Here is a 17,187-nt window from a genome sequence, read left to right as displayed (position 1 = left end):
ATCCACTTTAATTAATTATTTAAAAACTGGAACAACTCCAGGGCAAAATTTTAGTTTTATCCTAATTCCTTACAAGTTAGTTTTATACAGTGAAATTTTTTACTTTTTGGCTATTAAATGCCAGTCAGTGATTCTCAAGAGGGGTGGTGATGTTCATTTTTATTGCCATGTAGGGTGCAACTGGCATTTAGTGCCTGAGAGCCAAGGATGCTAATGTTTCTGCAATGTATTGGATAGACTCTCACAAAGAATTACCCACTAGAATGCCTGTAGTGCCCTCATTGAGCACAGTTTAGTGAAAAGTATGTTGAAGATTTAGTAAAGACTTACATGAGCAGTCATCTCTGGAAAGGTAACTGATCTTCTGATAAAGCAGTTTTGGGGAGGGACCCACAGAGAGCAGTCACTTCATAACACTATTCTTTAGGATCAGGAGCAATGAATGTTTCAGAAATATTTCTCCCACCTGTTTTTTTTCCTATTTTAGGTTCAGGGGTACATATGCAGGTTTGTTAGGTAGGTAAACTTGTGTCACAGGAGTTTGTTGAAGAGATTATTTTGTCACTCAGGTACTAAGCCACTAGGCTTAATTTTTTTTTCTGATCCTCTCTCTCCTCCCATCCTTCACCCTCGAGTAGGCTCCAGTGTCTGTTGTTCCCTTTTTTGTGTCCATGAGTCTCATCTCTTAGCTCCCACTTACAAGTGAGAACATGCAGTATTTGGTTTTCTGTTCCTGTGTTAGTTTGCTAAGAATAATGGCCTCCAGCTCCATCCATGCTCCTGCAAAATACATGATCTCATTCTTTTTTATGGCTGCATAGTATCCCATGGTGTATATGTACTACATTTTCTTTATCCCATTTGTCATTGATGGGCATTTAGGTTGATTCCATGTCTTTGCTCTTGTGAATAGTGCTGCAGTGAACATGCGCAGGCATGTGCTATTATGATAGAATGATTTGTATTGTTTTGGGTATATACCCAGAAGTGGGATTGCTGGGTCGAATGGCAGTTCTGTTTTTAGCTCTTTGGAGGTTTGCTACCCTGCTCTTTTTGTGTAATTTTTTTTTAGAGACAGGGTCTCTCTCTGTTGCCTAGGCTGGAGTGCAGTGGCATGATCATAGCTCACTGCAGTCTGGAATTCCTGGGGCTCAAGCAATCCTCCTGCCTCAGCATCCTGAGTAGCTAGAACTGCAGGTGTGTGACACCGTGCCCAGCTAATTGTAAAAAATTATTTGTAGAGGCAGGGTTTGCTGTGTTGCCCAGGCTAGTCTCTAACTCATAGCGTCAAGCAATCCTCCTATCTTGGCCTCCCAAAGTGCTGGTATTACAGGCATAAGCCACTGCCCCCAGCCATTCCCACATGCTTCTAACTAATATTTTCAGGCTGAGATTAGATGAGCTCCAACAAGTATTTGGTTTAGTTCAATAAGAGTAACCTCCTTCTTTAAATAAAATTAGCTATTATAGTTCCTCATCCATATTATATGAACTCATTAAGATCAAAGGAATAATTTACTCCTAACCAAAGGATGCTTTTGTATTGAACATTGTATTTCATAATGATTGTATATTTCTCTGAATTTTCAGCCTTAGGTGCAATGTAAAAGTAACATCCTACAGGTTCTAGAATTTGCTAAACTTCACTTACTATTAAAAGAGATTATCTTTGAGAGCAGGCTTAATATATGCATGGTTTTGTTTGTTTGTTTGTTTGTTTGTTTGTTTTAAGATGGAGTCTCGCTCTGTTGCCAGGCTGGAGTGCAGTGGCACCACCTCGGCTCACTGCAACCTCTGCCTCCCAGGTTCAAGCGATTCTCCTGCCTCAGCCTCCTGAGTAGCTGGGACTACAGATGTGTGCCATCACACCCAGCTAATTTTTGTATTTTCAGTAGAAACAGGATTTCACCATGTTGGCCAGGATGGTATCGATCTCCTGACCTCATGATCCACCTGCCTTGGCCTCCTAACATGCTGGGATTACAGGCATGAGCCACCGTGCCTGGCCTGCATGGTATGTTTTAAATAATTAGAGGAAAGAAAGGAGGGTGTGTAATCAAATTGCTATTATCATTCCTGGTAACTCTTTACACACATAGTGACAAGGTAGAGATTCTCAAGTTGAACACTATATTCAAGGTCCTGGTTTCATTGTGTTAGGGAGATGAGGGCACCTCCATCTGGTTCTTTATCAAGCCAGGCTTAAAGCTCATTGACAGAATTTTAAGCTTTGAGTGACCTTCTGTTGAAGAACTGGGCAGTATGGAGATACTACATGTGAGATACTGTGCTATGCTCTTAGTGGCATAGTTTACAATCACTGTACAGTAAGGACTTCACCCATGCTGCCTGTTCTTTTGGCATCTATGGATTAAGAAAGCAGAGTTTCAAGAAACATAAATAAGCATGCCTTTGTTTTAATTTATGTATATTTATGAGAAATTAGAATAAAATAAATTTTAAAAGTAAAAGCTAAGGAAATGAAGTTGGAGAATTGTGCTTTTGAGTAATGAAATGAAAACATAGCTCCCTTTAAAAGAAGGAATAAATAGAGTTTCTTTTTTTTTTTTTTTTTTTTTTTTTTTTTTTTGAGACAGAGTCTTGCTCTGTCTCCCAGGCTGGAGTGCAGTGGCGCGATCTCGGCTCACTGCAACCTCCGCCTCCTGTGTTCAAGGGAGATTCAAGCAATTCTCCTGCCTCAGCCTCCCAAGTAGCTGGGATTATAGGCACCTGCCACCATGCCCAGCTAATTTTTTGTGTTTTTAGTAGAGACAGGGTTTCATCATGTTGGTCAGGCCGATCTCGAACTCAAGTACTCAAGTGATCCACCTGCCTCAGCCTCCCAAAGTGCTGGGATTACAGGTATGAGCCACCGTGCCCGGTCCGAAATAGGTTTTTAAAACTCGTATGTTTAGCTCCTGATATATGCCAGGTTCACATACTATACTCATGTACTCCTCACAGCTTTCTGAGCCGAAGTGTGATTACTATCATTTTATAGATTAAGAAAATGGAGTCTATGCAGTTTTCAAGATTTGCCCAAGGTCATAAATCCAGCGAATGGGAGAAATGGAATTTAAACCCAAATCAGCTGTTACCCAGCAGTGGCAGCCTGGCAATATGAGTATCAAGTGGTGTAATATTCTCATTGCACCTGTAATGTGTGATATATACATAGAAAAGGAAAATGTACTTCTGTTGGTGTATTAGTCCATTTCACACTACTATAAAGAACTTCCCTAAGACTGGATAATTTATACACAAAAGAGATTTAATTGACTCACAGTTCCACATGGCTGGGGAGGCCTCAGGAAACTTACGATCATGGCAGAAGGTGAAGGGGAAGCAGGTACCTTCTTCGCAAGGTGGCAGGAGAGAGAAGTGAGCAAAAGCAGGGAAAACTGCCTTACAAAACCATCAGATCTCATGAGAACTCACTTGCTATCATGAGAACAGCATGGAGAGAACCACCCCCATGATCCAATGACCTCCCTCCCTCGACATGTGGGGATTACAAGTCCTTCCCTTGGCACATGGGGATTACAATTTGGTAATTTGGGTAGGGACACAGAGCCAAACTTTGTTGGTGAATAAAGGTTTATGTAGGCTGAACACTAGTGCTATAGTAAAAATGTTGCATTAAGGGTTTTACTGAGCTACAAAGTGATGGACAATCAGAGCTTTATATTTTGACTGATTAAAATTGAGTGTGGGGAAAATTGGACTTTTGGGAGTTGTTTGAATAAAGAGAGGGAGGAGAAGAGCATGGTGGAGGTAGACAGTGAAATTACAGGATGGTGTTTGACTTGGAGAGGGCTTAGAGGAGGATGAGTGCCGCCCCCCCGCCCAAGCCCCCCACCAGGGTTGTCAAACTGAAGAGTGCGAGATTGGGTCACAGCCTTTTGCACTAAGGTGGATATTTGTATCGGCTATAGCTCTGTCTGCACAGGGAGGATGGAGAAGGAGGTGAGTCATGTCCAGGTTATGGCTCCCATGCTTGGTCGTTGGCCTGGGCATGAAGCATCGTGTGCCATCCTCTCTTGCCGTTCTACCATCTGTTCTGCACACAGCAGCCAGAGTTATCTTTATCATTTTTTAATGCAGATCATGTCACTTCCCTGCTTTAAATCCTTTAATGACTTTCCATTATCCTCAGAGTGTGGTCTAGACAGACAGTAAGGTGTAGTGTTGAGGAGCATGGTCACTGGAGCAAGACTGGGTTCACTCTGTGCATACAGTAATTCCACCTTATCCACGGGGGATACGTTCCAAGACCCCCAGTGGATTCTGAACCTGCAGATAGTGCTGAACCCTACCATACACTGTTATTCCCTATACATATATACCTATGATAAAGTTTACTTTATAAATTAGGCACAGTAAGAGATTAACAGTAACTAAAACAAAATAGAACAATTATAACAATATATTATAACAAAAGTTAGGTGAATGTGGTCTCTCTCTCTCAAAATAGCTTCTTTGATTGTGATCTCTTCCTCTGAGAATATCTTACTGTGTTGTACTCACCCTTCTTCTTCTTTTTGTGATGATGCAAGATGACAAAATGCCTGCGTGATGAGATACCATGACAGCTGATCTGATAATTGAGATGGCTACTAAGTGGCTGACAAGCAGGGAGCATCTACAGTATGGACCTGCTGGACAGAGAGATGATTTACATCCGGGCGGGATGGAAGGGACAATGCAAAATTTCATCACACTACTCAGAATGTACACAATCTAAAACTTATGAGTTGTTTGTTTCTGGAATTTTCCATTTAATATTTTCAGACTAAGGTTAACTTTGGGTAATGGAAATTGCAGAAAGTGAAACTATGGATACGAGGTGACTGCCGTACCAGCTTTATCATCCTAGACAAATTTCTTAATCTCTTCCTGTTTTACTCTCCTCATTGTTAAAAATTTTATAGATAATAGTTCCTACCCTAAAGGGTTGTTAGAGGTTTAAATGAGTGAATCAAAGTAAAACACTAGAACAGCACTGGCACATAGTAGGTTCTAGAGAGTGTTATTGTTATTGTTACAGTCCGGAAGCTGGCCCCTGCCTGTCTGTTTCTCTCATGTCTTCTTCTCCCACTCTCTGCCTCATCCATGCTGCTGTAGCTGCATCACTTGGCTGTTCCTTGGAACATGGTAGGCTTGCTTCTGTTTCAGGGCTTTTGCATTTTTGTGTTACGCCTTTTCCCAAAATCTCCCTGTGGTTCAGTCCCCTGCTTCATTCAGGTTCCTGTTCAAATGCTTCCCTGACCAACCTATGTAAAATTGTACTCTCCTACCAACCTCTCTCCACCCCATTCCCAAGCTTTCTTTCTTTAAGCCAGTTACTACTACTTGACATTACATTTTTGCTTATGTATCTGCTTACTGACCACTTTCCCCACCAGACCAAAATCTCCACCAGGACAGGGACTTTGACTCTTTTACTCCTACCCAAATCCCTGTCACTTAGAATATTGCCTGGTAGATAGTAGATGCTCAATAAATATTTGTTGAATGAATTTTTGTAAATTTCATTTTCTCTATCCCTTCTATAATTGCTGTTTTCATTCTGTCTTTGAGGCTTAAAATGTTCTTTTCAACTGTCTTTGGCCTGTTTATCCAAATGGAAAAAGAGCATTTACTCTGCTCTTTCTTATGAAAGTTCTTTGACAGCAGGAAGTCTTGTTCTACTACTTTGAGCCTTGTTACAGGGGATAGGATTGAGGCATTTTATCATCATTGTCATAGAAAATTCTTGAAGGGCCTAATGTTGGATCTTGTGCTAAGGTGTTTACCGAGCTACCAAATGCTGGCCATACTTCACCATTTAAAAGGGTTCGGGTTTACATTTTCATTATAAAGCATAATTGCCAAAGGAAAGTAGCCATGCAAGTATGATGGGGAAAATCATGTACTGACAGCAGTGTGTACTTGAAAGAGACTTTGGAAATCTTGAAGTCTGAAGTTTTACAAAGAACACCTCATTCCTGCTAACATTTTTATCATGAAATTGGATGCAACTATTGCAAATGCCTTATTCTGTTTTCACATGAGATTTATAGTAAGTTTTACAATATCCACCATAAATTATAAGTTTCTTGTTTGATGTAAGTAAGCCTTTAGTAATTTTCCATTTGAGCATTATCAAAGAATTTGAGTTCTCACAAATCCTATGTAGTAAAACATTCAGTTTGGGGAAAAAAATCTTAATTTAGAAATGTTCTGAAAATCCTTGTCAAGAAGGAACTTTAAGATGTTTCAAAGGCCTTACTCGAAACTGGTTATGTGATCTTAGGTAAGCCTCTTAATCTTTTTTGTGCTTTGGTGTGACCAACTGTAGGATATAAACAAAGTTGAATGTCACATCAGCAGTGTGGATGAATTAAGTGTGAATGTTAATTGGAAATTCTTATTATAAAGATCCAGAGTTTAAGCTGGTTTTGTGGAATTCGCCTGATAATGCTTACCAAGAATTTGCAATGTTGTCCCTGTTTTTCTCTACACTGAATAAGATGGAGATCTCTTTAAAAAGGCTTTGTGTGTTCCATGGTGAAAATGTTATTTCTTTTTTGTATATTTAAAGAATATAGTACTAATATTCAATTAATATCATATAATCAAAAGAAGATATCAAGATACTGATGCAGGATTTTTCTCAGCCCCCACAGCAGGAGGCACCCTGTCTAGTCAGCCCACCAGGCCTTGGTTGGCTTGCACTCCAGTGTGGAACCCAGGGCCACTGCGACTGTGTGCTCAGCCCCTAGCGGGAGGGAGTATGTGAGCAAGTGAGTGTGGGGTCTGGCCGGCCATTCCAACCACTGGTACAGCAGCAGGCTCCATGCAGAGCTTGTGGCTGGACCAGCCATGTCACCCTGATGGGAATGCGGTGGTGCCCAGGCAGGGGTGGCCACAACCCTGAAGCCTCAGAAGGGGTGTTACAATGTGGTAATTAGCTCTTTTAGTCCCACTATCTGCAGCCTGACTGATGGTGGTGTATTAACAGCCCAGTTAGCTCCTAGCCCCACTCTGGCCTGTGGCTCCAGAGCTGGGGCTTGGCCCTGATGTTGCTTCCTGTTGCATGGGGTGGCTGCCCTCCACTGGCAGAGGGCAAAGGGCCACAGTATTAACAGCCTTTTGATTACTTGCATTCGGTGGGTCCTGAGTTCTTGCCCCACATCCAAGAAGAATGAGGTCATACTGACAATTGAAGGGTGATGAGGTTGGAGAATTATACTGAGCAGTGAAACAGCTCTCAATGGAGAGGGGACAGGAAAGTAGTCTCTAACCCTAAGTCAGGTCATCTATCACCCTAAGTCAGGTTGTCTCTGCCAGTGTGGCTGAGTCTGAGGTTTTTATAGGCACAGGATGGGAGAGGGACAGACCATAGGCAGTATTGGAAAAGGCAACATTTGGTTGGTTAAAAAGCATTATTCAGAAAGAATCAATGGGGAAAGGGTGGGCAAACATGAACAGAGGTTCTCACTCTGAATCACGGCTTTCATCCAGAACCAGCAGTGTGGTCTTTCAGCCTTCAGGCTGTTTTTGGCTTGAAGGTGGCATTTCATCAGGGATTCGCCCCTATGTACCTAGGCATTTATCTGCCTCTTGTCATTATCAATATCTTCCATTCAACCAAATATTAGCACCTACTATGTGTCAGGTTTTATTCTAGGCACTTGGGATACATCAGTAAACAGAATAGACAAAATTCCTTGACCTCTTGGAGTTTACATTCAACAGAAGAAGACAGACAATATATTTAAATGTGTAACTAGATTCTTATAGAGTATGTGAGAAGATGATAAGGATTATGGATAGGAAATTGAGCAAAGTAAGATAGTCTGGGAATGCTGGAGGAAGACTTGCGTTTCAAAATGAAGCAGTCAGAGTAGGTCTCATTGAAAAGGTGATGTATAAGCCACAAAATTGAAGGGAGGAATTGAGCCATAACAGTATCTCGGGGAAAGTTCCAGGTGAATGGGATGGCCAGAGCAATGTCCCTGGAGCCAAATCCTGACCACACCTTTGGGGACATCAGGGAGGTCAATGTGGCTGGAAGGGGGTAAGGAGCGAGGCGGGGAAAGTAGGAAAGGGTGAGGTCAGAGCTGTAATTGGAGGGAGTGGGAAGCCATGTCCTGTGGACACTGCAAGCCATCATAAACACTTTGGATTTCACTCTGAGAAGAATAGGGAGCCACTGAACAGAAGAGAGACATGTTTCTATATGCCAGTGTGACGTGTGTTTGAAATTGATTCTTTTGTAAGCCATTTCTGAACTGCTCCTTATTATCTGGTATACTGGGCCATGACTGTAACTCTTGGGAGGGATTTACTGAAATGAGTCCAAGTGTTTCTTCTCACTGGGCTGTCAGTAATTTCTTTTCCTTGTCAAATGAGTGTTTAATCAAATAGTTTAGGACCAATTGTTTTTATCTAGGAAGTTGCTGAGCAGAGCCTCCTCCCTTTGCCTAGTACATCTAGAAGTGTGAGTGTGCAGGTGACCCCTCAGGGGTGTGGTTCAGACTTGACTATATGTCACCCAGTTTGGATCTAGTAAGACATTTCACATTCTCCAGTTGGCTCCCTGCTTGTGATACCCTGCTATAGAGGATACAGCAATAAAACATCTCTCTTAAACTTGATAGTACATATTGTGAGTTCAACAAGTGTGCCCTGTGCCTCTCCACTCTGCCAGCATTCCTTTCCAGGGCAGTGATGAGGTCCATGTCAGAGATAGTGTCCTGCACACCTTTCAGTGCACAGATATTCCCAAGGCCAGACCTTGCAGTCTTGTCATTGGCTCTTCTAAGCCCGTGTTGTTTTTTTCTACCCAGTAATGTGCTGGTGCCCATTTCTGCATTCTCGGGCACACTGTTCTCAGCAAATCATTCTGGTGCCATTCAAGTGGCTTCAAAGCCGTAGTCGCCAGTAGGTGCCCTCTTAGCAGGTGGCCTGGTGGTGCCATGATTGTCAGACACACTCTTGTCTCCATTCAGAGAAGACTTTAATATAAAGAATTGGGCATCTAAGGAGATTGTGTTAAAAACTAATGCTAAGTTTGCAAATTCATAAGGAAGTTTGCCAGTGAATTCTCCTAGCACTTAATAAAATTGGTGCTCCATTTGGTACATTCAGTTGTGAAGACCCACCTGTCTTCCACAGTATAGCTCAGCTCTCAAAGTCGTCGTCACAGTTTTCTCCTCAATGTAGCTCTGGGATTCCAGTAACTGGCCTGGTACTTGCTGGTAAATTTGTACCATTTTAACAGTCAAGCAGTCCCTCTGAAGGGGTGTTCTTTGCCCAGGTCTAGAATGATAATCTTGATTCAACTCCTAGCTTAGTATTGCTCTCCAATCCCAAATTCCAGACAGGCATCTAATTCCCGAGTGTACCCATAATAAGATCAAGCATCTTTATGGTTCCAATCTCAGGACATAGTTGTTTTCAATTTATATACAAAAGATAATTGAAAATCAATTTAGAATTTATGCCATTTTTTAAGAAAATGTAGAGAGGAGATGGAATTACTTTAAAGCAAAAGAAAATTTGTAAGTATTATTTTTCTGCTCTCTGGCACAATCGGTCACATGGCATCTTTCTCAAAAAATTTCTCGTCTATTTTTAACTCTCCTGGGTTGATTGGTAGGAGGGTAAGTGCTTTGGATACTTTTTTTGTTTCTATTTTATTTCAAGTACCGTATGGAGGTTTTGGAGTTATTTAACATAGACATAAAAACATTTCCAAATCTAGAATATGTTTGGATATGTCTGATATGTCTGTTCATGTTTCCTATATATTCTCTTATTATCTTAAAAGGATAATTTTCTGGAAATCCAAGAATCATGTACAGGAAAAAAATTAATCTTTTAAAAATAGTTTTCACACCCATCTCTGTGTGTGGAATATTATGGGGAAGAAAGAACTTGAAAAAAAATTTAAAGTTTTTCTGTTTAAATTATTTTAGCTTGGTGTGTCATTTTTTTTAAAAAAAAAGAATTAGTTTTTTAAAAGACTACTCTTTATAATTACATTGTAGGTTAATATAATTATCAACTTTTCCAGGGAAGAAAAGGATAATCTCCTGAGGCCCAAGCAAAAATGGTAACATTGACCTCTGAATTCAGCTTTAAATATGTTGCTTCTGATGACCATTCATAGAACCAAAAATGTGAACTGTGGAAGGTAAAGAAATACATATGTCTAGGGAATGGATGAGGAAACAATGTCTGGCTTAGATTTGTAGACTTCTCAAAGGAGATCTCCGTAAACTCTTCCAAAGACACTTTAAACCTAACAGCTCAGAACCATATGAATCAAGCACAGACACCAGGATGACTAATCATTCCTCCTCTTTTTTCCTCTTTTAACAAAACATGGTTACCTTTACCATAGTAATTTTCGCATTGCATTATATATCTATGTGCCTTATCCCGTCAGCTCCTTATGGCAGGAAATATCCCCCCTTATCCCGTCAGCTGCTTATGGCAGGAAATAGATGCTTATGGTCTTCATAGTAGTCAGTCAATAAATACCTGTCAAATGAATGAATGAATGAACAAGGTAACAAATGAGAGGGACAATGGTCAAAGACATATGCATGGTCCACAGCATTGCTGTGATTGCTCAACTTCCCTGGAAATAACCATGAAGCAGAATTTTTCAAAATGTGGTCTTTATGGTACTTGCATCTGAATCATCTGGTTGGGGTGCTTGCTAAAATTCAGATTCCTGAGCCCAGACTCAAACCTACTAAATTCAAAGTCTCTGGAAGAGCAGCACAAGAATTAGCATTTTATTTGTTTATTTTTTTAAGACGGAGTCTCGCCCTGTTGCCCAGGCCGGAGTGCAGTGGCACAATCTCAGCTCCCTGCAACCTCCACCTCCCAGGTTCAAGCAGTTCTCCTGCCTCAGCCTCCCGTATAGCTGGGATTACAGGTGTGTGCCTCCACACCCAGCTAATTTTTTGTATTTTTATTAGAGTCGAGGTTTCACCATGTTAGCCAGGCTGATCTCAAACTCCTGACCTCAAGTGATCTGCCTGCCTCGGCCTCCCAAAGTGCTGGGATTACAAGCATGAGCCACCATGCAGGAAGTAGCATTTTAAAGAAGCACCACCCACCCCCTCATTCATTGTGAGCCATGAAGTTGGGCATTCGTTGCCCTGGAGGATCAGGTAGCTAAAAGAGATGGTGACCCGTGAGGATCTGTGACAGTGAATGTGCAGGAGATTTTGGTAAGTCTGCTTATATAGAGATTCTGTTTAAGACCCCTAGGTGTTCCTCCTAAAAATAATGTGGTTTTAATGAAGGAAAAGGGGCCTATTTCTCACCTCATTAACAAGCTCTGAGAAGTTTCTCTGTGTCATTATATAGTTAGTAGAAGAGGGTTGTGTGTTGTAATCTTCTATTTCTACTCTTTTATCTCCTGGGTCCAAACACTTTGTTTCTCCCTTGAAGAAGCAGAATTAACATAACTAATTCCAGTATTAGTAACAGGATTAATGGGAGTAGCTCTAAGTTGTAATTTAAAATAATAATAAATGAAATCACTTTGGATAAGTATCATGTTCAGGCATGGTGGCTCACATCTGTAATCCCAGTACTTTGGGAGGCCAAGGTACGCATGTGTGCGCGCGCACACACACACACACACACGTTTCACTTTTCTATTTAGAGAAAATGTGTAGCCAACTAGACTTGTAAGAGAATGAAGAAGTCGTGAGACACAAAGGGACAAGCTTAATATAAAGCCTACCAAACAAAATTAGATTTAGAAGGTATTTGGGTATATATGTATTAACATCTCCAATGTCCCTTTCTTTGTAATTATATTTCCACTAGGAAGTAACCTAAGAATCTAGAATATATACTCCTGTAATATAGACTGTTTTGTAACAAAAAAACAGACACTTTAATCCTAGTACGAGAGGAAATAGGAATGAGGATGGGAAAGAAGGCAAGGAAGGTAATAGTCAAAGAACAAAGACAAAAGCAGGAGAATATGCCTCATGGAAGCTGACAGGTGTCTAGGTTGAGTGGAAGGTCCCTCTAGAGAAAAAGGTTAAATATTAAGATGACAGAAAGTGACTGGTGGAGAAGAGGGTGCCGCAGGCACCACTGTAAGGGGGAGTAGAACCCTGGGCAAGAAGGCAAGAAGTAGGCACAGATACAGAGGAGATAGTAGTAGGGAGATGGAGAAATCAAGGGAGATCAGGCCTAATGTCCTCTTGGATGCCACAGAATGCATGAGTTTAGGGACACAGAGTTCACACAGAGTTCCAGTGAGGGTGGAAATTAGGTAGGGGATGTGAGGACAGAGACAGATTTGGAATTGTTAAGAGAAACGAGAAAGGGAAGTGGCCAAGTATAACTTGGTTTTAAAGACCAGTGGCATTCTATGATTTGTCGGAACCTTTACTCAGTTAAAGGAAGAAATAAAGTTATAATTACTTCTATATTACACATGTGGGGGATTTAGAATTGTTTCTTTGATATACCTTTTTATATTCAGTTATTGTTCTTTTTTTTGAGTTAGGGTCTTGCTCTGTCATCTGGGCTACAGTGCAGTGGTGCAATCGTGGCTCACTGCAGCCTCAAACTCCTGGGCTCAAGGGACACCCCTGTCTCAGCCTTCTGAGTAACTAGGGCTACAGGTGCATGCCACCATGCCCAGCTAATTAAAAAAATTTTTTTTTTGTAGAGACAGGGTCTTGTTGTGTTGCCCAGGCTGGTCTCAAACTTCTGGCCTCAAGCAATCCTCCTATCTTGTCCTACTGAAGTGTTAGGATGACAGGCATGACCCACTGCACCTGGGCCCACTATTGTTCTTACTTTGGGTTGGGGGCATTTTGAAAAAACCAAATCACCTCATACAGGTACTAAATGAGGATAAAAAAGAATAGTTCATTGAATATAGGAAAAAAAATATGTTGGCCTATACAAAAAAATCCATGAACAATAGAGCTGAGCAGAGAAAATGCTACCACTCTAAAATGATTCTCAGGCTAGACCAAAATTGACTGCAACGTAAACAAAGATGTGAACAAAAAATTTAATCTAAAGGACTAATTAAAATTGATCTTCTTGGAACAAAGGAATTAGTCATTCTAGGCATTTCTTAGCATGATGTGCCAAGGCTGGCCATAGCTCTGCTAGCCACAGTAGGAGCAGTGGCAGTTGTAGAGATTGTAGTAGCCATTTCACAGTAATGTGAACTCTGTGTCCCTAAACTTATTTCTCAGGATTCATATTTGCAATTAAGGGTTGCTGCCACTCAGTGGCGGAAGTATTTGTATCTGTCAAGGATAATGAATTATCAAGAATATGATCACATCAAAGAAAAATTTCCATCTAGAATAACCAGAATATTAACTTGAGGGTCTCTTACTTGACAAGCACCATGGTTGGCAAGGAATAACGCAGCAGCTTTCCTTCCTTATGAAGGCCAAAGGATGGTCACTGGCCATGGCATTTGAACTTGTTTTCTGTAATCAAAACAGGCCCATCCAGCTTCTGCTCAGGGTCAGCTCATTCTGCTTCTGACCCATTTTTTGTCGTATATGGAACATTTGTGTTCTGTGTGAACCTGAATACTCATGGTACAATTTACCCATTTGGCTTCAAAGGGCTAACTTTTATTTCTTTAAATGTCACAGATTTCACCAGGCCAGGTGTGGTGGCTCATGCCTGTAATCCCAGCAGTTTCAGAGGTTGAGGCAGGCTGATCACCCAAGGTCAGGAGTTCGAGACCAGCCTAGCCAACATGGTGAAACCTCATCTCTATTTTGTATTTTGTATTTTGAAAAATACAAAAATTAGCCAGGCGTGGTGGCTTACACCTGTAATCCTAGCATTTTGGGAGGCCAAAGCAGGTGGATCACGAGGTCAGGAATTCGAGACCAGCCTGGCCAACATGGTGAAACCCCGTCTCTACTGAAAATATAAAAATCAAAAAAATTAGCTGGGCGTGGTGGCAGGCGCCTGTAATCCCAGCTACTCGGGAGGCTGAGGCAGGAGAATCACTTGAACCCAGGAGGCAGAGGTTGCAGTGAGCTTAGATAACACCACTGTACTCCAGCCTGGGTGACAGAATGAGACTCCATGTCAAAAAAAATAAATAAATAAATAAAAAGTCACCAAACGGAAATGGAATTTTTTTTTTTTTTTTTGAGACGGAGTCTCACTCTGTCGCCCAGGCTAGAGTACGGTGGCGTGATCTCGGCTCACTGCAAACTCCACCTCTCGGGTTCAAGCAATTCACCTGCCTCAGCCTCCCGAGTAGCTGGGATTACAGGCGCCTGTCACCACGCCCAGCTAATTTTTTTGTTTTCTGTATTTTCAGTAGACACAGGGTTTCACCATGTTGGCCAGGCTGGTCTCGAATTCCTGACCTCGTGATCCACCTGCCTCAGCCTCCAAAAGTGCTAGGATTACAGGTGTGAGCCACTGTGCCCGGCTGGAAATGGAATTTTCTACATGGCCTATGAACTAACCAGGGGAACTAAGGCAGAGTTACAGAGATATAGAGTTTATCCCAACCTACAGGAGCTGGTGGGTGGATTGAACACTTAACTCTAGGCTTGTTTCATGGTAAAGGGTCTGGGAAGAAAGCACACGTTATTTATTCTCCCTTATTTCCTACTTCTGAGACTAAGCAAGGGTATGCAAGTAGTACAATATTTATACCTAGAGATGAACCTAACTAGCAAAGGAAGTGATATTAGTGACCCACTTAGAATAAGAGATGCTGACACCAGTTCTCTGTCCAAGCTCCCTTCTAGGGACCATGTAAAGGAGCCTCAGGATCTCCTCTGTCCAGGGTTCAGGCCTCATCCTCATCCCATTCCTACCCATCCATTCTAATTTTTGACCCTCACTGGTCCATGTTCCCAAAATTGTCATGTCAGAAATGCGTTTGGATTAATTTATTGGCTTAATTGATTGCCTGGGGAGAAAAAGTTTAGTAATACCAAATAATGCATACACTTTTACAGTGAGGTCACATTAACAGGTACAACTTTTTTACAGTTGCTTTTTATCTTCTTGATTCTAGTACTTGCTCCTTAAAACCAGATTTGATACTGCCTCATCTTTTCTGAGGCCTCAAGAGGAAGGAATCTGTTACAACAACGTTTTTAGGAAATTTCCCATGTACATAACTACTTTTTTAAAAAGCTTTGTGAATAGGTGGACACCCTCTATCTCCTATGTGTGTGTTCTCTTTCTTTTAGAGTCCAGCCTTCTGTGCCTTCCAAGTGACCAGTAGCTAATAAGTAAATTTATTTGTGAAAATAGGAGAGTTCTTCTCCCAGCATCCAAGCAGCTCTGCTAATTAAAGTATCTTTCAGAAGGTGAAGCAAATACCCTTGTTGTCTAACCTGGAGCAGTGATCCAAACTTGAGGATTCCAGATCAAGTCAGAAATGATGAGTCTGAATCACTGAGTGGTTTTTAGGATGGGTATATCTGTTAAGAATTGTGTGTAGCTGCAGGTAACAGAAACACAACCACAGTGGCTTAACCAAATGGGATTTTTTTTTCCTAGGTAGCAAGAAGCCTGAAGGCAGGTGGGTCAGGGCTCAATGGATCATCCTGATTGCGTCTTGCTTCTTGCTCTGCCATCTTAGCAATGTGGCTTTACTTCAAAAAGAGGGGACAGGGAAGAGCAAAAGGATGTTGAGTTTGTCCTTTTCTTATTAGGAAAATTACAGTTTTCCATAGGGTTCCACCTAGTAGACTTCCACTTACATTTCACTGGGCAGAACCAGGCCACATGTCACCATTAGCTGGATGGGATTTTGGAGAGGTATTTTTAACAGGGCACATTGTTGCCTTGAACAAAATTGGGGTTCAGTTGGCAAGGTAGAAGCTCAGTGGTTATGCAGCAAGCAGGGTCTGCCCTGAGGAGCCATGTGATACCTTTCAAATCCAGTGATTTTTAAGTGATTGCCCGAGTACCATCTAAGTATCAGCATCTTGGTTATATTTCTGTATGAAATGGAGTTGTTTGCTCGCATTGTTTATCTAGGAGAGGATGTGATGCCATGAATGGGTTATGTCTTTCCATTCTTATAAAGAACAGTGGCTGCTTCTTGGCCTTTCACAGTAAAGAACCTTTGACTTATAATGTGCTCAATGCAAATGCATGAAAGGACCATCCCTCCCAAAGTTCTTTGGCTTTTCAATATGATGAAACTAGTAGGGCAACCACAAAAAAAACCAGAAATCCCTCTGTCCCCTTGCTTTGACCCATTTTCTGTTTCTTTCATGCTTAAAAGAAGAAAGGTTTTTCTCCTCAGGACTATTCCTTTGGGCTTGGGACCTTTTCTCCATCTTTCCATTTTTAGTGTAGCTCATACTTCACCCCGTCTTCTTTATTCCAACTCTCAGTTAAAGTGCAACCTTAATCCTTCCTCCTTGGAAAGGGATTTGGGGAAACAAATGAGGTACATCTGGCATTAAGAGCCAGGATCACTATATACTTTTTAATGTGCCTATAAAACTCCAAATTGTCTCCTTTTCGTGTTTTCTAGTTTCATTTCCTATTCTGGGCCACTAAGACAGAGCTTCAAACTAGTGTAATGTGAGCAAATTATAGAATATGAATCCCCAGTCCTCAGGGTGCTGGGGGCAGAGTCTGAGGAAGCCAGAGCATCCCTGCCTGTCATATTAAATTGTAATCATGGCCTCTGTTGAATCTAGTGTTGCCATACAAATACTACCACTTTCTTTGTGCCATGAGGTCAGAAAGCTTGGAAAATGCTGCTTTCAGGCCTTTTGGGGGGATCACTGTTCTTTCTATTCTTCTTCAACACAAAAGCCTATAGAGACTCTTTTTTTTTTTTTTTTTTTTTTCTTATCTTGTCTCAAGGTCTATGCCTTTGGTCTTTTGCAAAGGACTGTCCTGACAGATGTGATGAACTTGGTTTGTGTTCCCTAAACACTGTTCCTGGCAAAGCTGTGCTGTATCTTGACTCACTTTCGTAGCTTAACGTCCCTTTTGTTCATCCCATCTTGAATTCTGTTATATTCTCCTAGGTCTGTTCTTCCTTTCCTTTTTATAAAAGCGTTTTACAAATGGGAGCACACCCAACCCCTTTGTTATAAATCAGCTCATAGCTAAAGTTGTAGCAGTTGTACCCTTTGTTCTTTGCAGTTTTGTCTTTTGGCAACATTGACCACCTTGGCC

At 41.3% G+C, this 17,187-nt stretch overlaps 1 protein-coding gene across 12 annotated transcripts in view; it reads left to right on the top strand.

Annotated features, from left to right (window-relative positions):
• HECW2 (HECT, C2 and WW domain containing E3 ubiquitin protein ligase 2) overlaps positions 1–17,187 on the top strand; it is a 399,483-nt gene that overhangs the window by 232,379 nt on the left and 149,917 nt on the right. The gene's annotated exons all lie outside the window — the stretch shown is intronic.

The sequence above is a fragment of the Homo sapiens genome, chromosome 2 (assembly GCF_000001405.40).
Source record: "Homo sapiens chromosome 2, GRCh38.p14 Primary Assembly".
NCBI lineage: Eukaryota > Metazoa > Chordata > Mammalia > Primates > Hominidae > Homo > Homo sapiens.
This window is presented reverse-complemented; position numbering and strand designations above follow the sequence as displayed.